General features: G+C 37.0%; 1 protein-coding gene and 1 pseudogene across 15 annotated transcripts in view; one reads left to right on the forward strand and one right to left on the reverse strand.

The window, feature by feature from the left end:
- Window positions 1-13,194, reverse strand: part of CCDC158 (coiled-coil domain containing 158) — a 108,831-nt gene that overhangs the window by 29,918 nt on the left and 65,719 nt on the right. For 14 of the 15 annotated variants that reach the window (XR_938729.3, XM_011531911.2, XM_011531917.2 and 11 more), the window contains 4 exons: window positions 12,368-12,480; window positions 10,167-10,325; window positions 8,764-8,856; window positions 8,040-8,165 (listed from right to left, as the gene is read on the reverse strand). Coding sequence is in view for 13 of the 15 variants with exons in the window: in XM_011531911.2 (XP_011530213.1) it covers window positions 8,040-8,165; window positions 8,764-8,856; window positions 10,167-10,325; window positions 12,368-12,480 (491 nt within the window). In the remaining 2 variants the exon portion in view is untranslated. Of the gene's footprint in view, window positions 1-8,039; window positions 8,166-8,763; window positions 8,857-9,908; window positions 9,944-10,166; window positions 10,326-12,367; window positions 12,481-13,194 lie in introns of those variants that run through there. The other variant, XR_938730.3, reaches the window with a different exon arrangement.
- SNX5P1 (sorting nexin 5 pseudogene 1) lies at window positions 1,579-2,778 on the forward strand (annotated as a pseudogene).

The following is a 13,194-nucleotide window of genomic DNA, read 5'->3' on the forward strand; positions in this document are numbered from 1 at the left end:
AATCCCAGAAGCTGTCTCCATATACTCAGGTGATTACTCATTCTTTCCCCCTAAATGAATTTAGAGGCTTAATCTTTGGGTAAGGTTGAACCAAAGGACTTTGGACTCCATAGAGATATCTATCTTGTATAGCAGGAGTAAGGTTGCAAATGTTAAATATGAGTATTAAGTGAGACTGCATAGATATATGTTAATAGTTACCCTAGACTTCCTCTCCCACTCACGTCACAGAATTCTGACAGATTTATACCTATAAGTCAGGAATAAGAGATCCCTCTTTAGGGAAACTGATCAGCCCAAGAATAAAGACCTATAGAAAATTTTTGGGTCCTTCAATAAAAAAGCATTACCTAACCATCTACCAGTTGAAAAGCCCTGACAACCTTACATAAAGCTTTGGATAGCTTTTTAGGGCCTCAGTCTTAAATATGAATGGACATCCAAGGGTCACCAAGCATTAAAAGAAAGTCTACAAAAACAAAACAATGAATTCCAAGAAACATTAATAATTCAGGTAACACAAAAAATTATTTAAAAACCAAAGTTAATATCCTTAAAGAGAAGCAAGAAAGTATTGGCTGGACATGGTGGCTCAAGCTTGTAATCCAAATAGTTTGGGAGGCCGAGGCAGGCGGATCACTTGAGACCAGCCTGGCCAACATGGCAAAACCCCATCTCTACTAAAAATACAAAAATTAGCCAGGTGTGGTGGCGGGTGCCTGTAATCCCAGCTACTCAGGAGACTGAGGCATGAGAATTGCTTGAACCCAGGAGACGGAGGTCACAGTGAGCCGAGATCATGCAACTGCACTCCAGCCTGGGTGACAGAGTGAGACTCCATCTCAAAAAACAAAACAAACAAACAAACAAACAAACCAGGAAAGTGTTGTATCCATGAAAGAACGGAAAGCTACATAAAGAGAAGACTTTAGAAAACAACAAAAAATATGGGCAAAAGCTGGAAGCATTCCCTTTGAAAACTGGCACAAGAGAAGGATGCCCTCTCTCACCACTCCTATTCAACATAGTATTGGAAGTTCTGGCCAGGGCAATCAGGCAAAAGAAAGAAATAAAGGATATTCAAATAGGAAGAGAAGAAGTGAAATTGTCTTTGTTTGCAGATGACATGATTGTATATTTAGAAAACCCTATCGCCTCAGCCCAAAATCTCCTTAAGCTGATAAGTAACTTCAGCAAAGTCTCAGGATACAAAATCAATGGGCAAAAATCACAAGCATTCCTATACACCAGTAATAGACAAGCAGAGAGCCAAATCATGAGTGAACTCTCATTCATAATTGCTACAAAGAGAATAAATTACCTAGGAATACAACTAACAAGGGATGTGAGGGACCTCTCCAAGGAAAACTACAAACCACTGCTCGAGGAAATAAGGGAGGACACGAACATGTAAGCCATTAAATCTTTTGAAGAGGCAGCTTTGCTGGTGGTATTGTCTTGTGCCACAGTGAGTTGTAAGTGAAGTTTGGACCAAAAATGAGTTTATGAAGACTGGTGGGCAGGAGCTCAAGAGCTACAGGCTTGTCCTCCAGCCAGTGCCTGATGTGCCCCAGCTGGGAAGCTGATGAATAGCTGACATCTGTATCTCTGGACCTGAATGTTGATCCCTCGCTTCAGGTTGACATACCTGATGTGCTCAGTGAGAGAGATAAAGTCAAATTTACAGTGCACACAAAGACCACACTGCCCATGTTTCAGAGCCCAGAGTTTTCTGTTACAAGGCAACATGAAGACTTTGTGTGGCTACATGACACTCTTATTGAAACAACAGACTATGCTGGGCTTATTATTCCACCTGCTGCTATGAAGCCCGACTTCAATGGTCCTCGAGAGAAGATGCAGAAACCGGGAGAGGGTGAAGGGTCTATGACCAAAGAAGAATTTGCCAAGATGAAACAAGAACTGGAAGCCTAAGTGTTAGGTGGAAAAATACTAAAGAAATGTTTGGTGGCTTCTTCAAAAGTGTGGTGAAAAGTGCTGAAGAAGTCCTTTTTACTGGAGTTAGGGAGGTAGATGACTTCTTTGAGCAAGAGAAGAACTTCCTTACTAATTATTACAATAGGATCAACGATTCTTGTGTGAAAGCTGACAAAATGACCAGATCTCATAAAAATTGTTGCCGATGTCTATATCCACACTGCAGCCTGCTTACATTGCCTGGCTTTAGAAGAGCCCACAGTCATCAAAAAGTACCTATTGAAGGTTGCTGTGCTATTTGACAAACTTAGGAAAGTAGAGGGTCAAGTTTCATCAGATGAAGATCTGAAGCTAACAGAGCTCCAACGATACTACATGCTCAACATCGAAGCTGCTAAGGATCTCTTATACAGACACACCAAAGCCCTCATTGATTATGAGAACTCAAACAAAGCTCTGGATAAGGCCCGGTTAAAGAGCAAAGACGTCAAATTGGCTGAGGCACACCAGCAGGAGTGCTGCCTGAAATTTGAACAGCTTTCCAAATCTGCAAAAGAAGAACTGATAAATTTCAAACCGAAGAGAGTGGCAGCATTTAGAAAGATTCTCATTGAAATGTCTGAACTGGAAATAAAACATGCCAGGAACAATGACTCCCTTTTGCAGAGCTGTATTGACTTGTTCAAGAATAACTGATATGCCTTCACTCAGAAGAAAATAAATGAATGTGAAAGAAAGCCAAGCATCACTTGCACTTAAATCATTACCATGGAAGATTTATTAGCTTTAACTTTAGTTTAAAATTATGTGAATAAATATTTTGATTTCTACAAATCTTAAAAAAGAGGACACAAACAAATGGAAAAATATTTGATGCTCATGGATAGGAAGAATCAATATCGTGAAAATGGCCATACTGCCCAAACTAATTGGTAGATTCAATGATATCCCCATCAAGCTACCATTGACTTTCTTCAAAAAATTAGAAAAAACTACTTTAAATTTCATATGGAACCAAAAAAGAGCCCATATGGTCAAAACAATCCTAAACAAAAAAAACAAAGCTGGAGGCATCATGCTACCTGACTTCAACAATATAACAAGGCTACAGTAACCAAAACAGCATGGTACTGGTACCAAAACAGATATATAGACCACTGGAACAGAACAGAGGCTTCAGAAATAACGCCACACATCTACAACCATCTGATCTTTGACAAACCCAACAAAAACAAGAAATGGGGAAAGGATTCCCTAATTTAATAAATGGTGTTGGGAAAACTGGTTAGCCATATACAAAAAACTGAAACTGTTTCCTTACACCTTATACAAAAATTAACTCAAGATGGATTAAAGACTTAAATGTAAGACCTAAAACCATAAAAACCCTAGAAGAGAACCTAGGCAATACCATTCAGGACATAGGCATGGGCAAAGACTTCATGACTAAAACACCAAAAGCAATGACAACAAAAGCCAAAATTGACAAATGGGATCTAATTAAACTAAAGAGCTTCTTCACAGCAAAATAAACTAGGCTGATGCAGTGGCTCACGCCTGTAATCCCAACGCTTTGGGAGGCCAAGCTGGGTGGATCACAAGGTCAAGAGATTGAGACCATCCTGGCCAACATGGTGAAACCGTGTTTCTACTAAAAATACAAAAAATAGCTGGGCATGGTGGCACGTGCCTGTAGTCCCAGCTACTCAGGAGGCTGAGGCAGGAGAATCACTTGAACCCGGGAGGCGGAGGTGGCAGTGGGCAAAGATCATGTCACTGCACTCTAGACTGGTGACAGAACAAGACTCCGTCTCAAAAAAAAGAAACTATCATCAGAGTGAACAGGCAACATACAGAATGAGAGAAAATTTTTGCAATCTATCTATCTGACAAAGGGCTAATATCCAGAATCTACAAAAAACTTCAACAAATTTACAAGAAAAAAACAAACAATTCCATCAAAAAGTGGGTGAAGGATATGAACAGACACTTCTCAGAAGAAGATATTTATGAGGCCAACCAACATGAAAAAAAGCTCATCATCACTGGTCATTAGAGAAATGCAAATCAAAACCAAAATGAGATACCATCTCATGCCAGTTAGAATGGCGATCTTAAAAAGTCAGGAAAAAACAAACGCTGGAGAGGATGTAGAGAAATAGGAATGCTTTTACACTGTTGGTGGAAGTGTAAATTAGTTCAACCATTGTGGAAGACAGTGTGGCAATTCCTCAAGGATCTAGAACCAGAAACACCATTTGACCTAGCAATCCCATTACTGGGTATATACCCAAAGGATCATAAATCATTCTGCTATAAAGACACATGCACATGTATGTTTATTGCGGCACTATTCACAATAGCAAAGACTTGGAACCAACCTAAATGCCCAGCAATGATAGACTGGATAATGTGCCTGGATAGACTTTATCCAGTCTATCCAGGCACATGGCACATACACACCATGGAACACTATGCAGCCATAAAAAAGGATGAGTTTATGTCCTTTGCAGGGACATGAATGAAGCTGGAAACCATCATTCTCAGCAAACTAACACAAGAACAGAAAAACAAACACCGCATGTTCTCACTCATAAGTGGGAGTTGAACAATGGGAACACATGGACACAGGGAGGGGAACATTACACAATAGGGCCTGTCAGGGTGTGAGGGGCTAGGGGAGGGATAGCATTAGGAGAAATACCTAATGTAGATGACGGGTTGATCGGTGCAGCAAACCACCATGGCACATGTATACCTATGTAACAAACCTGCACGTTCTGCACATGTATCCCAGAAGTTAAAGTATAATTTTTAAAAATTAAAAAAAGAAACAAAATCGCCTAGAACCCAAAATTATCTCTGTAATTTTTTCACATACAGTGTCCAGACTCAATTATTTAAAGAGGAAGCAAAGAGACCAAACAACAAAGTGACTAGAAACCAAGGGAAAAAATCGACACAGGCTCGGAGGGGATTCAAATCATATAATTATCATGTGCCAATTTTTAAAACAGTTATTTTCTTACTCTGTTTGGGTTGTTATAGGAAAATATCTTAGAGTGGGCAATTTATCAACAACAGAAATTTACTGTTCACAGTTCAGGCTGGGAAGTGCAAGATCAAGATGCCAGCAGATTCAGCATTTGGTGAGGAGCTCTTCCTCATAGATGGCACCTTCTATGTGTCCTCACATGGGAGAAGGGGCAAACAAGCTCTCTCAAGCCTGTTTTATAAAAGGGCACTAATGCCGGGCGCGGTGGCTCAGGCCTGTAATCCCAGCACTTTGGGAGGCCAAGGTGGGTGGATCCTGAGGTCAGGAGATCGAGACCATCCTGGCTAACACAGTGAAACCCCGTCTCTACTAAATATACAAAAAAAAAAAAAAAAATTAGCCAGGCGAGGTGGTGGGCACCTGTAGTCCCAGCTACTCGGGAGGCTGAGGCAGGAGAATGGCGTGAACCCGGAAGGCGGAGCTTGTGGTGAGCTGAGATTGTGCCACTGCACCCCAGCCTGGGCAACAGAGCAATACTCTGTCTCAAAAAAAAAAAAAAAAAAAAAAAAGGGCACTAATACCATTTGTAAGGGCAGAGCCCTTATGACCCAATCACCTCCCATTGGTTCCACCTTGGGGTTTAGGTTTCAACATATGAATCTAAGGGAAAACACAAACACGTGGACCATAACATATACTTAACAATACAAAAAAGTAAAAGATAATATTGAGAATTTCTGTAAAGAACTTGTTAAAAAACATGAATTAAATGGAAATCTAGTACTAAATACCACAATTTCTAAAATGAAGAACTTAATTGATGGGTTTAATAGATTAGACTCAGGTGAAGGGAGAATTAATTATCTGGAAAATAGGCCAGGAAAGCACAGAGAGACAAAAGGATGGGCAAAAGTGTAAAGATATAAAGACATATAAGGCATGATGAATAAACAATTAATACGTGTGTTAGAGTCCCAGAGGGAAAAAAGAAAATAGAGAAAACAAACTGAGTAGATAAGGGATGAAAATTTTCTCAAATTGATGAAGATTTCAATCCATGCATCAGGAAGACCACTACCCTTAAGAAAGATAGATATAAAGACCAGCACATCTAGGCACATGATAGGCAAACTGTTATACACCAAACCAAAGAGAAAATCTTGAAAACAGTCAGAGAAAAAACTACCTCCAAAACAGCAACAACAAGATTTACAATTGACTTATCAGTGGAAGTAATGGAGACCTGAAGACAATGTTCTACAGTGAATTCATTCATCTATGAGATAAATATTTATTGAATATATGCTAGACACTGTTATAGGTACTTGGGAAACATCAGTGAACAAAACAAAGAATGAATATTACTTTTATTGTGTAAAATTATATAATAAACATTTTTAAGAGAAGGAATTAATTGTATAAAGCATGTCTGACAGTATATTTTAAAAATCTAGTTCATTTTTGCTGTTAGAATTATTATTTAAAAACTTAAGCTGAGGCCAAGAGCAGTGGCTCACACCTGTAATCTCAGCACTTTGGGAGGCCAAGGTGGGAGGATTGCTTGAGCCCAGGAGTTTGAGACAAGCCTGGGCAACATAGTGAAACTCTGTTTCTATAAAAAATACAAAAATTAGCCAGGCGTGGTGGCACGCACCTTTAGTCCCAGCTACTAGGGAGGCTAAGGTAGGAGGATTGCTTGATTCTGGCTGGTTCAAGCTGCAGTGAGCATGACTGCACCATTGCACTCCAGCCTCAGTGACAGAGCAAGACTCTGTCTCAGGAAAAAATAAATAAATAAACAAATAAATACTTAAGTTAAAATTTAAAGTTAAACAAGCTAATGACTAGTACTTTTTCAGTGATGGATGCCATTCTTAATAATCAAGTACAATCTATATATTAAGCTGCTAGGAAAAATCTAATAGATTTTGGGTAATTAAAAATCACAGAATTTCAGAGCTAATCTTTCTTGGTGACCCTAGAGGTCATCTTGTCCAGACTACTTGTTAGAGAGGAAAAGATCAAGGTGCAATATATTTAACTGACTCGCCCAAGGTCACACAAAGAGTTAAAAATATGGTTCCAATGACTCCTGGTCAAATGTTCTTTGTTGTTGCTTGATGTGCAAAATTACTTTTGGAAAGGGGAGGCTAATTTAATTTTTATCAATGGAACATGTACATATTTTTAAAAATAAAATGATTTCATAACACTTAAAAAGCAGCAGTCTCCTGCCCTTCCCCTGTGCATCTCTGAATTTCAGTGTCCAGAGGGAAACATGCTTAACTTCTAACACTAATATTATTATTCTATTGTTTGATAGACTACTCTTTGTTGTATGATAGTTTATGTTTCAGCGCACACATCTTAAGTGTGTGAGAGGATTCCATTTTAGTCATTTAAACAGTACATAATTTTCATTTAAATGGTACAGGTGAAACAACAGATTACTGGTGATCCTGTTGCCATATGTAAGATAGGACTTTTAACTAATTTAATTGATTTTCATGTGTGATTTATGGAATGCCTTATTTCTTTACAGTTGAATACTGGTTGCAAGGGATTTGTGGTTTCATAAATACATATTTTCAGAGAAAACAAACTTGAATTTTACATTGCACATATTTTTTTTCTGAGCATTAAAAATATAAAAGATTAAACTAAAAAATTTCCAAAGTTTCTAATATTTTAATTAAAGGGAATAAAAGTGTCTTATAATTAATAAAATTCTGTTATAAATAAGTTAACAAAGAAACCACATATAGCAAATAATTTTCATTTTGGTAGACTATTAAATATACCACCAACTTGCCTTTGCCTTTTGAAGTGATGTTTATTTTAGCCATCTCACTATTTGCTTTGTAATCTGGAAATTCTTGAGATGGAAATAACCAAAGAATTGAAGATAAGAAAACACCAAATAGTGAAGAAAATATTTTTATTCACCTGGACTCCATTGAATTTATAGGAAAATGTATAAATCTAAAATCTAGTAATTGAAAATGCTATGGATATAGAGATATTATTTTTTAACGTAATTCTTTCCAATTTAAAATTACTTACGCATATGTCATTTGCGTAATGGATCATAAGACTGGTTACTTACATGAGACAGGAAGCTGGCTGTAGACTGCGAAGATGGTACATTAGAATGAGAACGAGTAACAGATGCTGGCTGGAGAAGGCGTGGTTTCAATGAAGAATTTGAGGTGTATCCAGGGCCCTGAAGTTCCTGGAAAACAATATAGAGGTAAGCAAAATAACTGCCAGCCTACAATTATAAAGAAATGTGAAATCAAAATGTATTTTTTGATTTCACAGGCAAAATCCATTATTGAGATTTTAAAATATGTCTGTAGCTTTAAAGTACACTTCTTAAAATAGACATATATTTCAGTGTAAAATGTACGATTTAAAAAAAAAACGTTTTGTCATGTAGATTACATCACTTTTGCTATTCCCCAAACAAGCAAATATATTTGCACTTAGGGTTTTGTACTCGCTTGACTCCTGAGCATGGAAAACTCTTGCTTTGGGTATTCCCATGCAGGTACTCGTAAACTTCACTAGTACCTTCACTCACCTATTTTAAACTCACCTATTTTAAACTCACCTATTTTAAACTAAGGATAGTGGTGCTTCTATTTGTTACCATATATGAAAAGGATAGGTATAGTATATAACAATGTACACATCTTATCATTGCTATTAATAGTATCAAGTAATGTTGAAATATACTTGAATGTGTATCTAAGGTACACAAGAAAATATAAAAGCATATCAAAGAACGGCATTATTTTCGCTTAAACTAATATTTATGATGACCTTACTTTTATATCCAAAGTGTGTTGAAGTTTTAAGCGCACTGATTCTTGCTCCTGACGCTGTATTATATCTTGACATTCTGCAAACTGCAAAGATGCCTACAAATGGAGCAATCATAAATGGTTTATCTTGCATTCTTTATGCACTTATATTTTATTAACCTATGAATGCAGAGCTGCCATCTCTTCAAAAAATCTTCCTGCCCTTCTACCAAACTATATTACAATGATCTATTTATCTGTTTTATTTAGTGAACTGTGAGCAACTGGAGGCCATGTTTTTATCCTCTATACCCCCAGCAAATACGTAACTTTTAGTATGTGAAGGGCAAACAATGAATGAACTAAGGATGGAATGAGCAAACAGCTTTACCAAAGTATAAAAATTTATATTAAAATAACCATAACTGGCTGGGCATGGTGGCTCACACCTGTAATCCCAGCACTTTGGGAGGCCGAGGCAGGCAGATCACGAGGTCAAGAGATGGAGACCATCCATCCTGGCCAACATGGTGAAACCCCGTCTCTACTAAAAATACAAAAATTAACTGGGCATGGTGGTGCACAACTGTAGTCCCAGCTACTCAGGAGGCTGAGGCAGGAGAATCGTTTGAACCCGGGAGGCGGAGGTTGCAGTGAGCCGAGATCGTGCCACTGCACTCCAGCCTGGCGACAGAGCGAGACTCCGTCTCAAAAAAATAAAATAAAATAAAATAAATTTTAAAAAATAACCACAACTGAAATTCACAGAGTCAATATAGCATGTTTTAAGAAACAAAGGTAGCAGAGATGAGATCCCAGATTATTGTATCTAACCATAAAGGCACTGTTTTCTTAGCAATCAAGGATGGTTTTGGTACAATTTTAGGCTTCCAGAGTTTCTAGGTGACAGGAAGGGAGATTTATTTCTCTACAATAAACGGCAATGACAAAAAGTATCACTGATCCTTCTCATTCTTTAAGCTATGTTTCCTACATGCACCTTCTGGACCCCACAAAGTGCCAGCCATTAGCATTACTTTATCATTTTATTGACATTATTAACAGACTGTATTCTACCAAGTACCCAAGTCACTTTTTGGTGGTAAATCAGGTGCTCATGGAGACCTTTTTACTTATTCATGTCACTATGGATATCAGGAACATCTTACATCTTTGATCTTACTGCTCCTGTGACTATGTTAGCCTGAAAAAGAAAATTTGGCAAAAAGTATGCATTATGACCACATTTTAAAATTCAGAAACGCCTTCTCTAATAGGATAGGGTTTTCCTTTGTGCTAGGTGATTGGGATACAACACAAATTGATACATTCAGTTCCTGTCTACATAGAGCTTTTGTTCAGAACAATTCTATTTGGTTAATAACTATTTAGTTGATAATTACTTCATATGTTTAGTTAATAATTACCTTATCCAGAGCCACTTCCATATTAGTAACCTTTTCTTTCAAACGGCGTTCCTGAGATCGCAGAACTTCCAACTCCCCAGCCATCTTGTTTTTTTCTGTGGCAACAGTACTCAATTCCTGACTGAGTTTACTTTTCTCTTCTTTCAGAAAATGTTTCTCCTACAATTATATGAGAGAAAAACATCAGAAATAACCTGTTGATGTAGATGCTGAAAGGTAATGGAAATATAAAATTCTTGTTTAAAGGACCCTGAACTAGGTAAGTTTAATTTATATGCCATTTAATTGCTTCTGAGTTGTGGTTGGGAGCTGCTGGGAGTATGTTATTATGTACTCTCTCCTATTTTAATCATTGCTGGTATTATTACTTCTTTCTAGTCTTAATAAATCTTTGATAAAATCTACAAAATATGAAATAACTATATTGTCATAAAAAGACAGTGTTTTAGTGAATTAGGATCAAATAATCGTATATCAAATTTTACTAAAATTTATTTTAAACAACAGAGATTTTTAAAAGATGCATTACTTGAAAGTTTTATGGATTTCTATTTTGTTTCAAGGTTGAATATTCATTTCACAAATTCCTACTGCATACCTGCGACAGAAAAACAAATGGGACATATAGTTCCTGCGCTCAAGTCACTTAACAGCCCAATGATGACAGTGAGCTTACTGATACAATAGTCTCTGCTATTAAACAACATTTCATTAAAATTAGTTCATCCCTCCAAAAAAGCGCCATGGAATATGTATACAAAAATAATAAATGTATAGTTGTCAAGTTAAAATACATCAGTGCATTGAGTCTACATTTCTTTATGTATTTTTTCATAGTGAAAAACATTTATTGTAAATAAGGTAGAAGGTGTTGCTACTGTAAAATGCAAAAAGTTTTCCTTTTCTGAGTAGATTAGGCAGAAAAGACTTCAGAAGGAAAGAGGAATTAATTGTATAGGCTTTCTCCTTTTTGTTTGGAGGGAATATCTTAGAGCTACGATGAATATTTTCCTTTAGGCAAGGCAGGCATCTTTGTTGACAGCAGGCAGTAACCTCTTAAAGCCATAAGCGCCATCAGGAAGGATAAGCACTGCTTTAGGTTCCCAAAGGCAAAAAAAAAAAAAAAAAAAAAAAGGAGAAAGAAAAAAGTGAATTCAGGATAAGAGAAAGGAAGGGAAGAAAAAATTGGAAAGAAGAAATAAGTCTATATGATAAGGGGTATGCACAAATGTAGGTTTATATTTGCTAATATTTAGCTGCAAATACTCTGAAGTATTTTGGCAGCTCATCATGGATAGTAAGTTAGCAATTACTTTGGTTGCACTTATTTTCTACTTGTCATTTACTTTTTCACCTCTATTATGGTCAGTTCTGTTATAAATCTTCTTCTGAAATAGACGCTTTTTCCAAAGTAATGGATATACCAGAGAATATTTGAGCATTAGGCAAACTTCATGGTTGCTTATTCGTGAATGAGTCTCATTCATGAGAACCACTAGGTCAAGGCAGAAAACTCAATCCAGCTAAACACAGCAGCATAGGAATACACAAGAAGCATACATGCACACTCCTCAAACACCCACCTACCGGCGACCTCAGTTTTACCATGTGTTATGAACCACATCCATCCACATCCGGTGTTACAGGAAACTCTCCTCCTACTCCTCCACAATAACATACGAGCTGCATATATACTTAAGAAAACTTCAGGTCATTTTCAAGACAAAGAGCTATACTTATTGTTGTATTTATATATTTCTTAACAATTTAGTATGTGTAAAACTGCTATTGTTTTTATTAGGTTCCTATTATTTTATGTGTCACTAATAAAATTTGTTAGTGTGGTGCTCCTGATCCCATTGTTCCCATAAGCCCTGTGGTTTTTATTACACAATTTTGCATAGCACAGCGATTTTTACAAACATGTATGTCACATTATAATGGAACTCACTGTATTTTGTTTATAATCATTCCTTGCCTCTACCAAGAATGTTCTTTTTCCCATTTCCCACGTTTAAAATAGTAGCTGTCTTTCAACATCCTGCTCAAATGCTTTTCTAGGAACTTTTCCCTTGTTCTCTCACCTAGAAATAAGCTTTCCTTTTCCCCTTGCACTTGCATCTCTGCTTCATCTTATTCTGCCTCGTGGTCTGCCTGTGAGTGAACATGTTGGTTTCCCCACTCTGAGGACAGCAACCCACCTTATTTGCATTTGTCATTGCCTCTTCCAAAAACTGTATCTTGCTCTGAAGGGCATCTATCTGACCTCTTTTGGCTGTGATTTGCTTTTGCATCCCCATTGCCACTTTCATAGCTGGAAAAAAAAAAGAGGCAAACTATGCCTTAGGTTCTTAAGTTTGAGAGACTATGGTAATTTGATGGTTAAACTTTATGAGAAGGTGACAAGTAAGATCCTCCAAGGTATCTGGGCAGTTTCAAGGAAAAGATCATGGACGAATGTCTTCGGTTTTTATAATGTTGGAATATAATAACTTTTAACTACTACTAGAGATTTTTAGCTGGGAAACATACATATAATCATGTTTTGTAGGGTTTTTGCCACTGGGATTAATTTCATTGACCATGATACGTTGCCAGCTTTCCAGTAATAACAATAACATTGACTAAACTCATACTTACCCATGTAGGGAAATATATAATATATAATATATGTACGTGTGTGTGTGTGTGTGTGTGTGTGTGTGTGTAGACATGGGGGGTGTCACATAAATAATAATATATATTGTATTATTACTAAAATGATTTTTCAAGAACCTCATACTTAAAATACTGCACAAGACATCTAGTGTATCTTTTAAAGGGTCCAGTGATATCACAAACCCTTCAATTTTTATTCTCATGATTGTTGTCATGTGCTTGGAACTCACTACCATCTCAGTAGCCAAACTGCCAGCATAAGCATATCTGATTTTTTCTCTTATAGTCAGCTGAGGAAAAAGGATTGAAAATGCCACAGCTTTGAGTCCAGTCTGGCTATAACTTAGAGGTTAAAAAGAAAAATGAAAAT

This window comes from Homo sapiens, chromosome 4, assembly GCF_000001405.40.
Source record: "Homo sapiens chromosome 4, GRCh38.p14 Primary Assembly".
NCBI classification, from domain to species: Eukaryota; Metazoa; Chordata; class Mammalia; order Primates; family Hominidae; genus Homo; species Homo sapiens.